Source organism: Homo sapiens, chromosome 8 (assembly GCF_000001405.40).
Source record: "Homo sapiens chromosome 8, GRCh38.p14 Primary Assembly".
Classification (NCBI taxonomy): Eukaryota; Metazoa; Chordata; class Mammalia; order Primates; family Hominidae; genus Homo; species Homo sapiens.
The window spans coordinates 106,658,452-106,678,904 of record NC_000008.11 but is presented as its reverse complement, the minus strand read 5'-3'; the positions used below and the strand labels follow the sequence as shown (position 1 = coordinate 106,678,904).

Below are 20,453 nucleotides of genomic sequence, written 5' to 3'. Positions count from 1 at the left end.
ATTATAATACCAACACATTTTAAGATACATTATATATTTTTAAAATACATCTTTCAAGATATATATCATTATTTTCCAAATAAGAAATTGTAACATTAGTTCTCACAGGAAAAAATTTTTCTACAAGTCATAATGAAAAATAGTCTTCTCTATGGGATTAAATTATGAACTTTCATATTAACATGCCATGAAGTAAATCAAGGTGTGCTTTCATATAGAAACATACATTTGAACATTTACTTTCAGATTGAATGCCAATTATTAATATTTTTCATTTGCTTATCAAGACTTCCTTGAATGTTTCATTATCATCAAGATTAGCGAAACTGCTTCCCTTTAAATTTTGTATTAGTGTTAACCTTTTCATCTATACTTCATGTAATAACAACACTGAATTAATAAAACACCACTCCTACCTAAACATAAAAATTATTAAAATGAAATCTAAAAAACTAAATAAATCACAAAATTAAATAAGATAGTAAACATGGCAAAATGCTACATTTACTTTACCCTCAAAATTTACCAAAATTAAAAACTATAGTTTTCAAAGAAAATTTATGGTTCAACCTAAGACCATATAATCTAGAAAATATCTATTTCATTGTTCTCCCTCTATCTAAACTTAAATGGCATTTTGACCATACAAGAGTTTATGTTGACCTAATCATCTCAGCTGTCGGGTGAATGGTTCTAAACAAGCACTAAAAAATAATAATAATATCAAAATCCCCAAAAAGGACAATTACCTCTGCAATGCTTTAAAAAACTATCCTAAAACCTTCCTGATCACCCAGCTAACCCAAGTCCCTGTTATTAGTCACATAGCATCTTTATGTCTCCTTCACAGCATCTGACACAGTGTTAAGTTAATATTTGGGTTTAAATCCCTTCCACTAAATTGTAACCTCCAAAACATTGCCTTTCTTCCACAAAGCCTCCTCAGTGCCTAACTAGGGGCCTGACACATGGCAAGCATCTAATAAAGTAATGTTCTGAAGCAACAACTTGAACTATACTTTGAACTACCAAAACTATTATGAACTGCCATTAATTTTCCATAAAGAAAAGTAGAGAAAGAATTATGGTTCATCCATTACAACTCTAGGAAAAATAGTATGCAGAGATACACACACACACACACGCGTGCGCATACATACACATATTCTACTTTTGTATCCTAAATATTTAAAGAACTCTTAAAAACTAGGGAAAAAATAATGCAGGTGAAAATATGCACAAAAGATATAATCAGACAATTCACAAGAGGATGTAAAAATGTCCTTAAACATGTAATAATGTTGTTCAATCTCACTCATAATTAGATAAATGCAAATTTAAACTATACTGAAATATCATTTCACACCTATCGGGTTGGTAAAAACTCAAAAGAAGTTTGGTCACATACTGTTTGACAGTAGGAAATGAGATATTCTTCTGCATTCCTGGTGGCAATGCAATATGGTAGAATTTTTATAAAGAATATTATTTTTGCTTATCAAAGTATTCTAATTCTTCTACACTGAATAGTTTATATTTAAATTTGCTTCTCTAATGAGAAAATGCAAACATTAAAACTATTTTAAGATAAAATAAGTTTTAAAGAATTTATTTTTATTTTAAACAACTGAAAATGTATTAAAATAAAATTCGATTTATTTTTGAATAATTTATGTTTTAAATAATTTTTAAATGATTTCTTTGAATAGCAAATTAAACTTGCAATTTAAACTTCTCAAGCAATGCAATATACAATTACAGATTACCTTTAACTAATAATATACCCTTCCTTAATTGATTTTAGGAGTAACCGTTAGTTTGTATTTACTTTGCCTAATAGCTTTTCGATCTGTGTTTCATAATATCCCAATAATTCATTAAACATGTTTGCAAGTTTGCAATTGCTCTGTAATTTTCAAAAGCTCACCACAGAATGCAGTTCAGGGCAAGAAAACTAATGTACTAACTTTCTACACTTTAAAGTTTGAAAAACAAATGGAAAATATTCTCTTTACTAATTAAAAATTATAAAATATTATGCAATAATTACATATTATAAAAACAGTTCTAAATTTTAATAATTAATATTAAAATGTTTATTCACAGATCTAAATACCAAAGCACATAAAATAAACTATTTGTTTTCTTCCATCAATATGAAAGTACAATCAAATAATCACAACATTTGAGAGCAGCTAGAGAAAAAGGCCAGGTCACCTACAAAGGGAAGTCCATCAGACTAACAGCAGACCTCTCAGCTGAAACCCTACAAGCCAGAAGAGATTGAGGGCCAATATTCATCATTCTTAAAAAAAATTCCAACCCAGAATTTCACATCTGGCCAAACTAAGCTATATAAGGGAAGGAGAAATAAGATCCTTTCCATAAGAGCAAATGCCAAGAGTACTGGTTAGCATCAGAACTGCCTTAAAAGAACCCTAAAATATGGAAAGGAAAGACCATTACCAGACACTACAAAAACACAATGAAGTACACAGACCAGGGACATTATAAAACCATCACATACACAAGCCTGCAAAATAACCAGCTAACATCATGACAGGATAAAATCCACACATAACAATACTAACCTTAAATGTAAGTGGGCTAAATGTCCCAATGAAAAGACGGAGTGGCAAGCTGGATAAGACACCAAGAACATTGATATGCTGCCTTCAAGAGATCCATCTCACATGCAATGACAGACATAGGCTCAAAATAAAGGTACGCAGAAAAATCCGCCAATCAAATGGAAAACAGAAAAAAGCAGAGGTTGCAATTCTAGTTTCTGACAAAACTAGGATTTAAATCTAGTTTTAAACTAAGACTTTAAACCAACAAAGATCAAAAAAGACAAAGAAGGGCATTACATAATGCTAAAGGGTTCAATTCGTAAGATCTAACTATCCTAGATATATATATGCACACAACACAGGAGCACTCAGATTCATAAAGCAAGTTCTTAGAGACCTACAAAGAGACTTATACTCCCAAACGATAATACTCAGAGACTTTAACACCCCACTGACAATATTAGACAGATCACTGAGACAGAAAATTAACAAAGATATTTAAGACCAGAACTCAGCACTGGAGCAAATGGACCTAATCTCTACAGAACTCTCCACCCAAAAACAACAGAATATACATTGTCACATGGCACATACTCTAAAACTGATCACGTATTCAGAAGTAAAACACTCCTCAACAAATGCAAAAGGACTAAAATCATAGCAAACAGTCTCTTGGACCACAGCAAAATCAAATTAGAAAAATTAGACTAAGAAATTCACTCAAAACTATACAATTACATGGAAACTGAATAATCTGCTCCTGAATGACTTTTGGGTAAATAATGAAATTAAGGCAGAAATCAAGAAGTTCTTTGCAACTAATAAGAACAAAGATATAACATACCAGAATCTCTGGGACACAGCTAAGATAGTGTTAAGAGGGAAACTTATAAGATGTATAAATTTTGTAAATGCCCCATATATGCTTGAAAATAATGTATACTCTGCACTGCAGGGTTTAGTGTTTTATATATGTGTATGCATACATGCACACACATGTATTTACATATCCATGAGGTCAAGTTTGTGGACTGTGTTAGTCAAATTCTGTATATTTGTATTGATTTGTTTTTGTCTGATTATTCTGTTACCAATGGAGGTTGTTAATATCTCTCACTCTAAATTATGGGTTATTTGGTTCCCAGTAGGTCTCCCTACTTTGCTTTTTATACATTGGGACCATGTTATTAGGCTCATACAAATCGAAAATTATATCTTCCTGGAAAATTAAACTTTTTCTCAGAATACTGTTTCCATAAAGTATTCTTTGTCTAATATTAATGTACCAATTCTCTTTTCATTAGTTTCTGCTTTTTCTTTCTACTCTCAACATTTCTGTATCCTTATGTATTAGTCTGTTCTCACACTGCTATAAAGAACTGCTCAAGACTGGATAATTTAGAAAGGAAAGAGGTTTAATTGACTGACAGTTCCACATGGCTGGGGAGGCCTCAGCTTAAGTCATAGCGGAAGGCAAAGGGGAACCAGGCACCTTTTTCACAAGGCAGCATGAGGAAGAATGAACTCAGGAGGAACTACCAAACACTTATAAAACCATCACATCTCATGAGAACTCACTATCACAAGAACAGCATTAGGGAAACCACCCCCATGATCCAATTACCTCCACCTGGTTTCTCCCTTAACTCAGGGAGAGTATGGGGATAATATTTCAAGATGAGATTTGGGTGGGGACACAAAGCCAAACCATATCATTCTGCCCCTGGCCCCTCCCAAATTTCATGTCCCTTTCACATTTCAAAGCCAATCATGCCTTCCCAACAGTCTCCCAAAGTCTTAATTCACTCCAGCATTAACCCTAAAATCCAAGTCCAAAGTCTTACCCGAGACAAGGCAAGTTCCTTCTGCCTATAAGCCTGTAAAATCAAAAGCAAGTTAGTTACTTCCAAGACACAATGTGGGTACAGACATTGGGTAAATGTCTCTGTTCCAAATGGTAGAAATTAGGCAAACCAAAGGGACTACAGGTCCCACGCAAGTCCAAAATCTGGCAGGGCAGTCATTAAATCTTAAAGTTTCAAAATAATCTCCTTTGACTCCATGTCTCACATCCAGGTCACACTGATGCAAGAGGTGAGCTCCCATGGCCTTGAGCAGTTCCACCCCTGTGGCTTGGCAGGGTACAGCCCCTCTCCCAGCTGCTTTCGCTAGCTGGCATTGAGTGCCTACAACTTTTCCAGGTGCACAGTGCAAGCTGTCAGTGGATTTACCATTCTGAGGTCTGGAGGAAGGTAGGCCTCTTCTCACAGCTCCACTGGGCAGGGCCCCAGTAGAGACTCTAGGTGGGGGCTCTGACCCCACATTTCACTTCTGCACTGCCCTAGCAAAGGTTCTCCAAGAGGGCTCCACCCCTACAGCAAACTTCTGTCTGGACATCCAGGTGTTTGCATACATCCTCTGAAATCTAGACAGAGGTTCCCAAACCTCAATTCATGAGTTCTGGGCACCCACAGGCACACCACCGCACGTAAACCGCCAAGGCTTAGGACTTGTATCCTCTAAATAAATGGCCTGGGCTGTATGTTGGCCCTTTTTAGCCACAGCTGGGATTCAGGGCACTGTGTCCTGAAACTGCACAGAACAGCAAGGCCCTGGGTCTGGCCCATGAAACCATTTTTTTCTTCCTAAGTCTCCAGGCCTGTGATGGGAAGGGCAACCACGAAGGTCTCTGACATGCCCTGGAAACATTTTACCCATTGTCTTGGTGATTAACATTTGTCTCCTCGTTACTTAAGTAAGTATCTGCAGCTGGCTTGAATTTCTCCTCAGAAACAGGTTTTTCTTTTCTATTGCATTGTCAGGCTGCAAGTTGTCCAAACTTTTTAGCTCTGCTTCCCATTTAAACATAAGCTTCAAATCCAAACCATCTCTTTGTGAATCCATAAAACTGACTGATTTTACGGTCACCCAGGTCACCTCTTGAACACTTTGCTGCTTAGAAATTTCTTCTGCTAGATACCCTATTTCATCTCTCTCACGTTCTATATATCTCTAGGGCAGGGGCAAAATGCTACCAGTCTCTTTGTAAAGCATAGCAAGAGCCAACTTTATTCCAGTTCCCAACAAATTCCTCATCTCCATCTGAGACCACCTCAGCCTGGACTTCATTTACCATTATCACTATCAGCATTTTGGTCAAAGCCATTCGACAAGTTTCTAGGAAGTTCCAAACTTTCCCACATCTTCCTGTCTTCTTCTGAGCCCTCCAAACTGTTCCAACCTCTGCCTGTTACCCAGTTCCAAAGTCGCTTCCACATTTTTGGGTATCTTTATAGCAGTACCCCACTTTGTAGTTCCAATTTACTGTATTAGTCTGTTCTCACACTGCTATAAAGAATTGCCCAAGACTGGGTAATTTAGAAAGGAAAGAGGTTTAACTAACTCACAGTTCTGCATGGGTGGAGAGGCCTCAGGAAATTTACAATCATAGCAGAAAGCAAAGGGGGAAGCAAGGCACCTTCTTTACAAGGTGGCAGGAGGGAGAATAAAGGCAGGAGGAATTATCAAACACTTATAAAACCATCAGAACTCATGAGACCTCACTATCACAAGAAGAACAGCATGGGGGAAACTGCCCCCATGATCCAATTCCCTCCACCTGGTTTCTCCCTTGATATGTGGGGATTATCGGGATTATAATCCAAGATGAGATTTGAGTGGGGACACAAAGCCTAACCATATGACGTTATGTTTCTGGTGTGTATCTAAGCAGGTCCTTTTTGTTTATTTCTTCTTTCTTTCCCTTCCTTCCTTTCTCTCTTTCTTTTCTTTTTCTTTTCTCTCTCTCTCTCTCTTTCTTTCTTTCTCTCTCTTTCTTTCTTTCTTTGATGGAGTCTCACTTTGTTGCCCAGGCTGGAGTACAGTGGCACGATCTTGGCTCACTGCAACCCCAACCTCCCAGGTTGAAGCAATTCTCCTGCCTTCGCCTCCTGAGTAGCTGGGACTACAGGCACACGCCACCAACCCCAGCTAATTTTTTTTTTTTTTTCATTTTTAGTAGAGACAGAGTTTCACTATATTGGTCAGGCTGGTCTCAAACTCCTGACCTCAAGCGATCCACTCACTTTGGCCTCCCAAAGTGTTGGAATTACAGGCATGAGCCACTGTGCCCAGCACTATTTGTTCTATTTTCTATCTGTCTACCTGTTCTTTTAGACTTCTCTCCTTTGTTGCCTTCCTTGGATTCAGTATTTATTAACTCCGGTTTTTCCCCACATATCTGAAAGTTACACATTTTTTTAAACAATTCTTTTAGTGGTCATCCCAGAGATAAAAAGTCTGAATTACTGACTCCTCACAGCCTTTTATTATTATTATTATTATTATTATTATTATTATTATTATTATACTTTAAGTTCTAGGGTACATGTGCACAACATGCAGGTTTGTTACATATGTATCCATGTGCCATGTTGGTGTGCTGCACTCATTAACTCGTCATTTACAATTAGGTATATCTCCTAATGCTATCCCTCCCCCCTCCCCCCACCCCACGACAGGCCCTGGTGTGTGATGTTCCCCTTCCTGTGTCCAAGTGTTCTCGTTCTTCAATTCCCACCTATGAGTGAGAACATGCAGTGTTTGGTTTTCTGTCCTTGTGATAGTTTGCTGAGAATGATGGTTTCCAGCTTCATCCATGTCCCTGCAAAGGACATGAACTCATCATTTTTTATGGCTGCATAATATTCCACGGTGTATATGTGCCACATTTTCTTAATCCAGTCTATCACTGATGGACATTCGGGTTGGTTCCAAGTCTTTGCTATTGTGAATAGTGCTGCAATAAACATATGCTCACAGCCTAATATTAACTGGTACTTTTATCCTCTTCCCAGACAATGCAAGGATGTTAAAAACTGTCTGCCACTGCCAAGATATATGAAACAGTTTTACACGCTGAATACATGCGTATTTAAAAAACATTATTTTTAAGATAGTCAAGGTTGATTTAGTTTTGCTCTCATATTTATGATTATTATTGTATCTCTGGGAAATTTCACAGGTCACAGAATTCTAGGTGGCAGGTACTTTCTTTTAACATTTTAAATCTATAGGTTCCCAGTTTTTTAGTTTTTACTGTGTCTGTTGAGAAATCAATGTCCATCTTAATGCTGTATGATTGAAGGTAGAAACACTATTTTTTCCTTTTTTTTTTTTTTGCCTTTGGTGTGGTTTCCACTAGAGGTTGATAGGGATGCTTGAATCTGAATTAAAGTTTTTCTTTAGTTTGGACGTTTTCAGCCATTCTTTTTTTTTTTTTTTTTTTGAGACAGAGTCTCACTCTGTCACCCAGGCTGGAGTGCAGAGGTGCAATTTTGGCTCACTATAACCTCTGCCTGCCAGGTTCAAGCAATTCTTGTGCCTCAGCCTCCCAAATAGCTGGGACTACAGGCACGCACCACCACGCCTGATTTTTATATTTTTAGTAGAGACAGGGTTTCCCCATGTTGGCCAGCCATTCTCTCTTTAAATAATGCTTTTGCCCATTCTATCTCTCATCTACTTTCAGGATTCATATGTATATGTACATACATATTAGAACTTCTCACTGTATCTTGTATTGAACTTACCTTCTCCTATATTTTCCTCTTTCCTGTTTACTCTGAACATTCCCTTTTGACTTACCTTTCAGTTAGGGAATTCTTTCCTCTGCGGTGTCTAATTTGCTGCTAAATCCATCTACAAAGGTCCTAATTAGAGGGGTTGTATTTTTCACTTCTAGAATATCCATTTTTCTTTCTCATAGTTTGTAACTTTCTACAAAATTCTTAATCAGGTCAAAATTCTCAACATAGCTATTTTAAATCTGATAACTAGAATATCTAGAGTTACCGTGGGCCTGTTTCTATTCTCTATTGTGTCACATATCTTGTCATGTGCCTATTTTGTGTGCAGAACATAAAATTTGCAAAATCGTCTGACAAAACATTTTTACATGTAGAAACTGGTAATTCTCCAGAAAGAATTAATGTTTGCTTCTGTCAAGTGCCTGAGGACACTAGTAATACCAGATCTTATTAATTAAGTTACAGAAATTTTGATAATTTGAAGTTGAAGTATCTTCCTAGGGAGGCCTAGCTACTTCAGTTTATCTTTCTCCCTAATGTACAACATTTTGGGGTCCAAAGTGAGAAGAGATCACTAGGGCCACCCATCCCCTGTGACAGGCCTTGCACTCTGGCCCGGTTCCATTATACCCACAGCCTGTCAAATGCACCTTTTGGTCTCTCAGTTCCTGTTTCAGGAATCAACACTACCCCTGGGGTAAAAAGCAATCAAATTGGAGTTCTCCCTCCTTAGACCTTTGTCCTCATTCAGATCCTATCCTACCCATACCACTTAGCTTTCTGATACCCTTAATAAAATGTTTGCTTTGTGTCCAGCTTTTTAAATTGTTCTCAGCAGGATAGTCTGAATTACCTAGCTTGCTATTACTAGACTCAGAACTCCTGAAGGACTTTCAAGCAGAGAATTAACAGAGCAGTATAAAACCTTTAAAAAAATCATTTTGGTAAAGAAATGGAAAGGTATGCTGTAGAAAGTCTGGAAATCATCAATGAACGTACTATGAGATCAGGTTTAATGTAATAAAAGACTCCTATAATAACTGAATATTACAATATTGATAATAGCTATGTATAAAAAGTTTGACTATTTAAAACATTGAGCTGCAAGTCAGTATTTTCAAAAACAGTAATATAGATACTAAAACTTCAAACACTTTAAAAGTATCTTCTAAACTAAAAAAAAAACAGATTGCTGATTGTAGCTTTTCTAATAATTCTCTCAATAATGAGATACTAGGGAAAAAAACCTGTATTTTCAACATTTCACTATTGACTCCTTATCCACGATCAAAACAAAAACAAAACAAAACCCCTCAATTTTCCCTCAAATCTAGTATCTATCTTTTTCTAGATACTACTCCATCTTTCTGCTTCTTTTCAGTTGAATTTTTGAAAGTAGAAATCTACTTTTACTGTCTTTACTCCATTATCTCCTACAGAATCCACAATGTATTGTAATATCTTCTCTTCCCCAGTTCACAATCCCCACCCTAAAATGAATAAATTAAATGGCAAATTTGATGGGCTTTTCCACTTTTTTTTTATCTGATCTCTGTGAAACATCCAAGAGACTTCTTCTGCATGTTCCTCTTTCCCTTTATTTGAAAGTATTTCACACTCCTCTTGGTCTCATACCCATTAATGTTCCTTTTTACTGCCCCTTTTCCTCCATCTAGACCTTAAAGTTGGCTCTCTTCTAAGTGAAAAGATCCATGATATTAAAGAGCTATAGAGCCTTGCTATTTAAAAGTGTGTTCCAGGGACCAGCTGCATTGACATCACCCAGAAGCTTACTGTGAATGTAAGATCTGAGGCTCAGTCCGGACCTACAGATTTACTATTGATTTGCACGCACAACACATTTGAGAGACATACAAATAGAGCTTCTGAAGAGATCAAAGACCTGCAGACTGCGTAAGTGACAGAAGAAATGGGCTTCCCTACATAACTTCATATTTGTGACAGTTAACACCAGCAGTTTTCAAATCTGTCAAACTAATATAATGGTTTCTAAATTAGTCATGGTGATAGACTATATTATTGTTACTAAGCCTGTATTCCTTCCTGTTGAGGAATATAAAATATACCTCACCATCCTATTGATGTCAGACATGGCCAACTTGCTTTGCCCAATGAACCATATATGTCTTCCAGGTGGAAGTGTTTGGAGCCAAAATTGTACTTCTTAGCTCTCTTTTCTATCTCAAAACCAGAGATCTTCCATATAGTGGCTGCTCCATCAACATGTATTCCAGAAGAAAGGTGTAATTCCTAAAAGATTATTCCACATAGACACATGTGGGCACATGAGTCAGGCTATTCCCATTTCTACTCTTAGTTAAATTATTATGCTTGGGAGCTTAAAAAATTATTCAACAATTCATGCATAAAAAGCAAATCATCTACTAGGGGAAATGGAAAAGAATCTGGCTGGCTTGCATGAGACTTCTCTACTGAAACATTACTCAGTGCTATAAGACTGAAATTATGCCAATTGTATCAAAAACTCCAGAATCAAGGAGGACATTCTAAAAGGTTACTAGAGAATATAGAACAATAATAAGTTATAAAAAAGTGGTTGAAAAACTAAGTATGAATGTTACAAACATGGACAATGTAAAAATAGTAAAATGAGTAAATATTAGGATGTGAGGAGGAGAAAAATGAGAAATGAAACTGCTAATGTCATACCAAAGCATGGTTAAATATATCCCACCTAAAACTGAAACAAGATTGTAATAACAGTATCTGTAATTTTTTTTCTTTTTTTTTTTTTTAGAATTTGCTTAAATTTAGACACACCCCTTAGGAATTAACCTCTTGTGGTGAATAAGTATTATCTTTCATTCTGTCACTCCCTCCTTCTAACCACCCATCCATCCTTCTATATGTACATACACATAGAAGTGATGTACATTACTTGGCAGTAATGCCTACCCAAATATTAACAGTATCTCTGGGTGACTGGATTAGAGGTGATTTTTAAAGTTCAGTATTTGCAACATATGACTTATTTATATATAGTATATATCAGGTTTATTTTAAAAATTAATTTCGTATAAAAGACTGGAAGCAAATATTCCACAATATTAATGGCTCTTAATTGTGGCATGTGAAAAAAGAATGATCATAATTCCAGTAGTTTATTTATTCCACAAGGACCTTGCCACACAGTCATTTTATCTTCAGCATCTTTCTCTCAGCATACAAACATGTCTTCCTTTTAGGAACTTTTCATTGTAAGTCACCTCAACTTTCCTAAGGTCTCAATACTATCCAGAGGTTGGCAGAAAACTTAAACATGCATTTCTTTTATTAACTTGCATCATAAAATAGGTGCATGCCCCAAGTACTTGTAAAGAAAAATAAATAAATAATAACCTGCTAAATTCAGCAAGAGTTTGATTGAGAGAAATATCATTAAGGAAAACAGAATGATGTAGAGTCCTTCACATCCTAAGTCAGTGGTTTTTAACCCTAGTTACATATTAGAATTCCGTAAGAAACTGTAAGTGGAGATCTTAAACAGAGATTTCAAGATCAAATCTTTGATTATAATCAGATCTTGGCATCAAAATTTTTTCATGGCTACCCAGGGAATTCTAATGTGTACCCTGCATTGGGACTCATTGCTATCAATGCTGCCCAATAAAACTTTCTGCAATGGTAAAAATGTTTTATATCTGCCTTGTATAATATGGTAGCCACTAGCCATCTGTCTTGTGAGTACTTGAAATGTCTCTAGTGAGACTGAAAACTGAATTTAAAGTTTTACTTAATTAAATTAATTTACATTAAAATAGCTACATGTGCCTAGTCACAAAGATTATTTGCATAGCCAAATTTTAGTCAGGCTGCTGAACCTTCTCCTATGCCAATCTGTTCACTTCCTTATAAAACCGAGTTTCAGCAAGAATCATGTTAAGGTCAGTGTAGCAGGAACCCCCACCCCGATCCTGGATATCTGATTACCTTCCGTATCTGATCAGTTTTCTCATCCTCCACTGTCCAGGTGAAGTCTGATTACTCTGGCCTGCCTTCAGCAAGAATCCTGGTAGGTCAGTTTCACCATAATACCCCTTATTCCTGACGTTACCTCTTAGCAATTGTCCATCCATCTATCCTTACTCTACTCCTTGGCTAGAAATTCCCACTTGCCCATTTTGTATTTGGAGTTGAGCCCAATCTCTCTCCTCAACTACAAAATCTCATTGCCACAGTCCCTATCCCTATTGCAATGGTCCTGAATAAAGTCTGTCTTATTGTGCTTTAGGAAGTATTATCAAATAATTTTTCCTTTAACACTAGTTGCTACCATATTAGATAGAGCAAATACAGAATCCTGAATCCAATTTTCTCAATCCAGTTCCTCATTTGCATTAGCTGCAATTCAGATACTCAATAGCCATATTTGCCTAGTGGCTACCATACTGGCCATCACAGATACAGACCATTTTCATCACCTCAAAAAATTCTATTGAGTAGTACTCTCAAAAAAATCCAAAACAGAGAGTCGTAACTATCTAAAATCTATAGTTTAAAATGTAAAACCTACCTCTCAGTTAAGATGGACTGTTAGATAACTGCATATTTGGATTAATTGTTTTCCCCTTGTACAGAAGTGCTTTTACTAACTTGCAGTTTAGAGCTACACCATTGAACTACATTAAAGATTTAATGGGTTTAAAAAAATTAAAAATAGATTTTTGAAACTGAAGTCTGTACTTACCATAAAAATAAGCTTTTTGGTTTGTTTTGCTTTATTACAGAGTTCCATGAGTTTTTTTTTTGTTATATTCTCACTATAAGGAATAACTGTGTTTCTCCTGGCTGCCTAAGCAACAGGTTTATCTTTATCCTAGGGACACTGTGATTTATGGCTGATTACATTTCCTTCTTTCCATTTACTGCTAGAAAATAAAAGCCAATTTTTGTCCTTTCTCTAATGTATGTATTTGACCCTAAAACACATTCCTTTTTGTACTAGTATCACCTATTGAACAACATTTATAAAGAGTCTCCTAATGTAAGTTTCCTAGTGGCCATGAAATAAGCCTTCACACACAGAAAAACACTATCTGCAGTCACTTTACTTTTAATGTTAGATTTCTTGAAGTTAAAAATATAAAAACCTACTTTCCCTTGTCTTCTACCATAAAAAGTGCATTCTATTTATAATCTAGCAAATTTTAACACTTTCTAAGGTGCTTTAAATAGCTGACCAACTCAAACTGGAAAATTAAATATCCCTAAATAATCCTGTTATAAACATGGGTAACTAAGTTCTCTTACATATATTACAGGTCCTTGAATAACATCGTTTTGTTATCATTGTTTTGTTATAACTTTGATAAGAACAAAAAATCAATTCCCAGACAAGGCCACTGTCTGTGTGGAGTTTACACATTCTACCCACATCTGTATAGGTTTTCTCCAGGTACTCCAGTTCCCTCCCACATCCAAAGATGTGCACATTAGCTTAATTAGTGTGTTTAAACTGTCCTAGTATGAATGTGTGTGTTTGTGTGCGTGTGTGTGTGTGTGACTGTGCCCTGAGGTGGAATGGTGTCCCGTCTAGGGCTGGTTCCCACCTTGTGCCATGAGCAGGACAGGATCCAGCCAACAGTGACTCTGACTGGAATAACTGAGTAAATAATTCTCTTGTCTTTATTAATCTTTCTTTAATGTTTGCATAGTTCACATTTATTTCAATGTTTAATAATGGAAGTATTTTAGGTCTTTACTTACAAGTTTGCTAATGTTTTTGTGACCAGAAATATATGGTAGGAACCTAACTCTTGTTTACATCAATTAGCTTATGGTAAAATTGGTTTCTTTACACATCATTTTGCTTAAAAGGTGCAACTTCCACAAACCTATTGATGATGTCAAAGGAGGACTTACTATACTAAACTGCATTTATAAATTTACTATATTCTATTTTAAACACATTGCTTCTAACAAGTAAACCTCCTGAGAAAAATATTAAAAACCCTATACTAAGTTTTAAATATAATAAATGTTAAGTTCTTAAACATTCCAGTGGTTTCTAAGTTTAGCCAAATTGTTGCACCTTTCAACTTAAAATCCCAAGTCAAAAAACAATTACGCAAGTATGCATTTTAAATTATACTCTTAAGACTAATTTGTTGGCCACTTTTATAGGCCTAATTCTATGAAACAGAACAAATACCTTAAAGACCAAATACACTGATTATTCCTAGACTTAAAACAAAACTATTAATATAAGCATTTAATAAATTTCATCATTTCTATATTTACTTCTAACCTTCCCATGGATAAAAGACTTACCCACTAAGAAAAGTGTGGTTGCCAGACCAGCAGCATCAGCATTACTTAAGAACTTGTTAGAAATGCAAATTCTCAGCCACACAGAATCACAAATTCTAGGAGAGGTATTCAACAATATTTTTCTAACAAGCCCTTCAGGAGATGATTCTGTTGCATGCTGAAGTTTGAGAATCATCAGCTTATTTTAGAGGCAGTTTTGTTCTACAACATAGATAATACAGAACTTCCTATCAGCTATCCTGTGAGACAAGCAGCAATTCTAAAACAGGCAAATCAACCTCATGCCTGAGAACCACTGAACTAAATGATACACTATTAAGAAAGGCTAACTAGTTGGGAGTTACCACTAGAGCCCACTGAGGTTGCCGATCAAGTAGAGAGTATTCTCTTCCTCCCATCCGGCTTTAGGAAAAGAGACTAAAACTGGGGCCAGCTAGGGTTATCTTCTACCAACACTGTGAGTTTTTTGTTTTGTGGTGGTGGTGGTTGTTTTAAAAAGTTACTGTAACAACTGGTACACTCCAGGTCTCTTAAAGCAGTGGTCCCCAACCTTTACGGCACCAGAGACAGGCTTCATGGAAGACTATGGATTATGGACATGTGGGCAAGGGGTGGGGGATGGGGAGAGAGATGGCTTCTCAATGAAACTGTTCCACCTCAGATCATCAGGGATTAGACCTTGCATGTGCAGTTCACAATAAAGTTCACACTCCTATGAGAATCTAATGTCCCCACTGATCTAACAGGAGGCAGAGCTCAGGCAGTAATGCTGGCTCGCTTGCTGCTTACCTCCCGCTGTGCATCCTGGTTCCTAACAGGCCATGGACCAGGGCTGGGGACCCCTGCCTTAGAGGCACTTGGTCCTCCTGGGTTCAAGATAAACCATCATCTAACTCTTAACACATCATCTGAGGTGGCAATTTCCAACCTAATATATACCTAATTTTTCTCACACCCTCATTGGATTTTGCATTTCCAGCTCTGTCATTTTACTATCTTTCTAACTCTAAAGAACCTTCAATGACAATCCATTCTATCCTTTACAATCTTAACTAATTTAACTTTAATACCTTACATGATAGAATTTTAATTCTTCTCACATTTTTCCCCTATCTCAAGGACTGTAACTCTTGCAAATACTAAGAAAACACCCAAATAAATTCTGAATTTCTCACTTCTTTCTTTGGCTCAGATTTTTCAAAAGGAAAATAGGATAATAATAGTACTATGTCATCAGGTTTTTATTAGGATTAAATAAAAAACTTTTGCTCAGAGCCTGCCCCATTACAGCTATCATTCTTGCTATAGGCTGAGTACCACTTATCTGAAATGCTTGGGAACAGGAGTGTTTTGGATTTTTTTGAATCTTCCTAAAGGATAGGATGGATTTGGAATATGTGCATTACTGATTGAGCATCCCAAATCCAAACATCCAAAATGCTCCAAAGAGCATTTCCTTTGAGCATCATGTAGGCCCTCAAAAAGTTTCAGATTTTGGACTTTCTGATTTGGGATGCTCAACCTGTATTACTACTTCTGTTATTACTACAAGTATCATCATCATCATCATCATCATCATCATCATCATCATCCCATTTACTGAAATAGACATTACCCCCAATCCAAGCAAAACATGATATTTTACACCCCCCAATATTAGGTTAGAAACCCTTCTTATATACTCCCATAATATATTTTACATTCCATGCCCAATAACCAACACAGTTATAAATTCTTTGTCCAATGTCTATTTTCCCAACTAGACAGGATCATTAATGAACCTCAGTACCCTCACCAGTAAAATGAAAATGCTACTATTAATTACCTCATAGGGTTGTTGCTGAGGGTTAACTTGTGCGTAAGACACAGCAAGCACTATATGTTTTGTCTATTATAATTATTATTCCATGTCTTGGTTTACATTTTCCATGATTATCAAAAGTGAACCAGTAACAAGAATATCAATCTCAGGCTTCTAAACGCTTCTCCTTCAGTTACATACATTCAGTACATAGGATTTGCTTAATGTAAACCTAAAATGAAACTTCAGCAACAGGGATAATCATTTAAAAAAATATTATTATTAAATAGTTTTTCCTTGACATGTCAAATAATTCAAGTCATAAAAATGTAATACATTCCCACTTAACTTCATTTTTCATCAACTCTATTGATATACACACACATACCAGTAACATATATGCTATGAGGCAGAGCAGTTTTAGGTGCCTAGTACAACAATTTGCAACTAAGGTCTATGGTTGGTATTACCAGATGTTAATGTCCCAGATTCAAAGTTGAAAGAACTGTTGGCTACTGAAGTCAGCACTTCTGCATAGGAGTAGCCATTTTAGCAGAACTGTTCCATCACTGCTGCTACTACTGCTATCCACCATTGTCATCCTCCCACTAAGGGGCCAAAAAGGACTAAAATGAAAAAGTGGACCCCTGCTTCTATTCCTTCCCACATCCCAACATCAGAGGAGTTAATGCATCAAGAAGGGGTGGAGGGGAGTTTGTGAGAGCTAGACCACACCTCTTCTCCGCTACCAACCTAACTTGGAATGGGAACTGAGGTAGAAAGGTAAATGGAGATATAAATTGAATATGAGACTGAAATTTTTAAATAAATGGACCAAGTCTTAAATAACTGAAAGATAGTTTTAATTGCTAAAAATAAATGAAAAGAAAATGTAAAAGGGCTGAGTTGTGCTCAAAGAATCCTGTCACCAAGTGGGAAAATGAGGTTGATATAATAGGACGCTTATGATAAAAACGATTTCATGTTTATACGACAGTAAGTTGAGAGTCTACACTAGTAAAATTTATCTATATTTATTACAATATAATCTAGTGAAGTGAGTACTTTTAAAGATTATACATTATGAGTTATAGTTATGCCCCCAAACAAGAGCTATATTTAAAGTTCAAAACAATTTTTTAAAATCAAAGCATAATGTACCCGTTAATCAGGAACAAGCATTGTATTTTAAGATGTTTCCTTTGTAATTGTTATTAACTAGATCAATGGTGTGATAATGTCCTTAATATGTCTAAGTCTCAATTATGGTTTTCCTGAGAGGGCTATAATGATGGAGCCAGCAAGCACTAAAAGCTGGTAAGAGCAAAAGCAGCCACCTTGGAGAGGAGTAAAGGAAGGAGAGACATTAACAGTTCAGTAAGTGGTTTCTTTATAGAAAGGGTAAACTCAGAAACATTGACCAAAGTTTTTTTTGGTTTTGGTTTGTTTGTTTGAGATGGAATCTTACTCTGTCACCCAGGCTGGAGTGCAGTGGTGTGATCTTGGCTCATGGCAACTTCCACCTCCCAGGTTCAAGCAATTCTCCTGCCTCAGTCTCCTGAGTAGCTGGGATTCCAGGAGTGTGCCACCATGCCTGGCTAATTTTTGTTTTTGTTTTATTTTTGAGATGGAGTCTCGTTCTGTGGCCCAGGCTGGAGTGCAGTAGGGCGATCTCACTGCAACCTTGCCTCCTGGGTTTAAGCGATTCTCCTGCCTCAGCCTCCCGGGTAGCTGGGATTACAGGCACGCACCACCACGCCCAGCTAATTTTTGTATTTTTAGTAGAGACAGGGTTTCACCGTGTTGGCTAGGCTGGTCTCGAACTCCTGACCTCAGGTGATCCGCCCGTCTCGGCCTCCCAAAGTGCTGGGATTACCGACGTGAGCCACCGCAACTGGCTGACATTTGACCAAAATTTTATCTGGTCTATCCTTAATCTGTCAATGGTGAAACTATCTTATCAACATCATTGCTGAACATGACTCCCTCCACCCCTTCTTGATGCGTAACTCCTCCGATGTTGGGTTGTGAGAAGGAACAGAAACAAGGTTCTACTTTTTCATCTTAGTGGATGAAAGGAGGAATAAGATCACTAACAACAAAGGGTTTCCTGGAATGCAGTCAATTTACATGTGTGAAAGTATCTGTAACAAGAAATACTCCTATAATACACAGGGCTTCTTAAAGAACTGAAGAAAGAATGATAGCAGGAAACTTAAGCAGCTATTAAGAAACTGAAATAAGAGTAGAAAGAGCAGAAGAAATCCTTCAAACAGACTGACAGACACTCATTCTAAAGGACACAAACACAAAGAACAACCCTAGAGCCAAAATCCATCTGAGAAGCAGCTGCAAAGCACAGAATTCTCATTTTAAACAAAGGCTAGCTGGAAACATATGAAGAATCATTTATTTTTCACTTGTGTATATACACGTTGCCTCTCAAAAGTCAGCTAGTTTTCACTAATTCTGCTCCAAATGAAAATGCTCTAGAATAGAGAATTTTGAAATCACCAAATCCAACCTCATTTACAAAGAAGAAAATATAGGCCCAAAGACACTAAGTAACTTGTCCAAATTCTTTCAGGAAGTTAATGCTAGGACGTACCTGCCCACATGACTGTGGTCATACTTTGACCTCACAACGCCTCTCTAATGTGTCAGAGATTTGGGGGCACCATGACTATTAAAGAATATGCAATGAATACATAAGGCAGCTTCAACAGAAGAGGAATACATATCACTTCAGAAGCGCCACTTTGAAGGAGGGTGTCAGATATAGCTGTGTGCTCCACATATATAAACACATAAGTGTCTCTCTGCTGCCCAGTCTGGATTCTCCTCCTGGGCTCAAAGGATCTTCCCGCCCCAGCCTCCTGAGCAGAGTAGCTGGAACTACAGACACGGGCCACCGAATGAATCAGATACACGTGTTTGGCCATATTTATTAAAATACTAACCATATTCCTTTTTAGTTAAGTTACCCCACATATTTCTGAATTCTCCACCCATTTCAAGGCTGGTCACACATCAACTGTTTTCAATTAGGCTACTGAAAACTCATTTTAAAAAGTCCTTGATTTGAACACTTTAAAGTCCCTTTCCTATGCCTGGTCCCACCTTTAAGAGGATTCTGCATTTGGTTAACGTCCTTCAGAGCAGAAACAAAAGTATTCCCCTCCCCTTTTCATTTCCTAATTCCATAAACAGCATTTCTAAAGATAAAAAATATTTTATGTAAAGTAAGGAAAATTTATTTTAAAGGGCTATGCTAAAATGAGACTTTAATATTTCTTCAAAGCTTAAATTACATACCTACACACATAGATCAAAAATGTCCTCACTGTTTTACTGCTTTAAAACAACTGGCAGGGCCCAGCATGGTGGTTCAGGCCTGTAATCCCAGCACTTGGGAAGGCCTAGGCAGGAGGATCACTTGAGGCCAAGAGTTAAGACCAGCCTGGGCAACACAGCGAGACTCCATCTCTACAAAAATAAAGTAAGATAAAATTTAAAATAAAATGACTGGCACGATGTGGAGTTATAAACAGATTTTACACACTTTGTGCCTATCTCTATTTTCTAAACTCTCTAATGCTCATTTATTTTCATAACCCTCAAATATTAAAGCAATTAACAAAAATAAAAATCAGACATGGCTAGGATGTCTGCTACCTGTTAAACGAAGCCAAGGACACTGGAAGTTACCCTATGCATTATGCTAAAACTGTTCAGCAGCACTTTCAAAAATTCTTTAAGTTATCAATATCATGTCGCTACAAATGACTGTTTTAAAGAATGGTACAAAGCCACTGTGGTGAAAAAAATCGGCCAACACAACACAAAATAAACAGGAACTGAGAAAGTTTCTAGGTTCTGCCACCACAAGACAACGTGCAGCCGTTCAAAAAGTACACGACGCAAAATGTCAACTAGCTTCCAATGTTAATGAAGTGTTTTATTTTACAAAGAAGTATCTGGCTTTTTATTTTTCGGTTAGGAAGTGAATCCTAACAACTGAGAAATATTAAGGAAAGACTGACCCAAACCAAAACCAAAGCAGGCACAGCGCTCTTCAAGAATCCAAGACTGAAAACACGGACGTCATAACTGGTTCAGTCTTCACCTCCCAGTGGGAGGGAAAGAGAGAATGGATCGTCCCCTTGAAATACTTGGCGG

General features: G+C 36.8%; 1 protein-coding gene across 15 annotated transcripts in view, besides 5 other annotated features; it reads right to left on the bottom strand.

Moving 5' to 3' along the window:
* The window catches only part of OXR1 (oxidation resistance 1), a 482,517-nt gene that overhangs the window by 73,790 nt on the left and 388,274 nt on the right, over window positions 1-20,453 (bottom strand). For 2 of the 15 annotated variants that reach the window (XM_017013592.2, XM_047421920.1), the window contains exon 1: window positions 19,590-19,755. The exons of the other annotated variants lie outside the window; for them this stretch is intronic. In XM_017013592.2, coding sequence (XP_016869081.1) covers window positions 19,590-19,599 — 10 coding nt within the window. In that variant the 5' untranslated portion in view covers window positions 19,600-19,755. Of the gene's footprint in view, window positions 1-19,589; window positions 19,756-20,453 lie in introns of those variants that run through there. 15 annotated transcript variants of the gene reach the window in all.
* Window positions 4,857-5,057: a silencer, noted in NCBI's record as "peak7139 fragment used in MPRA reporter construct". NCBI's record gives its function as "represses an SCP1 promoter by STARR-seq MPRAs in K562 erythroleukemia cells {active_cell/tissue: K562}" and the evidence as "EXISTENCE:reporter gene assay evidence [ECO:0000049][PMID:32103011]".
* Window positions 8,658-8,717: an enhancer, noted in NCBI's record as "active region_27802". NCBI's record gives its function as "activates an Ori minimal core promoter by ATAC-STARR-seq in GM12878 lymphoblastoid cells {active_cell/tissue: GM12878}" and the evidence as "EXISTENCE:reporter gene assay evidence [ECO:0000049][PMID:35858748]".
* Window positions 14,546-15,046: an enhancer, noted in NCBI's record as "H3K4me1 hESC enhancer chr8:107676087-107676587 (GRCh37/hg19 assembly coordinates)". NCBI's record gives its function as "activates a minimal SCP1, AML or CMV promoter by ChIP-STARR-seq in naive H9 embryonic stem cells {active_cell/tissue: H9 hESC(naive)}" and the evidence as "EXISTENCE:reporter gene assay evidence [ECO:0000049][PMID:30033119]".
* Window positions 17,518-18,018: an enhancer, noted in NCBI's record as "H3K4me1 hESC enhancer chr8:107673115-107673615 (GRCh37/hg19 assembly coordinates)". NCBI's record gives its function as "activates a minimal SCP1, AML or CMV promoter by ChIP-STARR-seq in primed H9 embryonic stem cells {active_cell/tissue: H9 hESC(primed)}" and the evidence as "EXISTENCE:reporter gene assay evidence [ECO:0000049][PMID:30033119]".
* Window positions 18,019-18,519: an enhancer, noted in NCBI's record as "H3K4me1 hESC enhancer chr8:107672614-107673114 (GRCh37/hg19 assembly coordinates)". NCBI's record gives its function as "activates a minimal SCP1, AML or CMV promoter by ChIP-STARR-seq in primed H9 embryonic stem cells {active_cell/tissue: H9 hESC(primed)}" and the evidence as "EXISTENCE:reporter gene assay evidence [ECO:0000049][PMID:30033119]".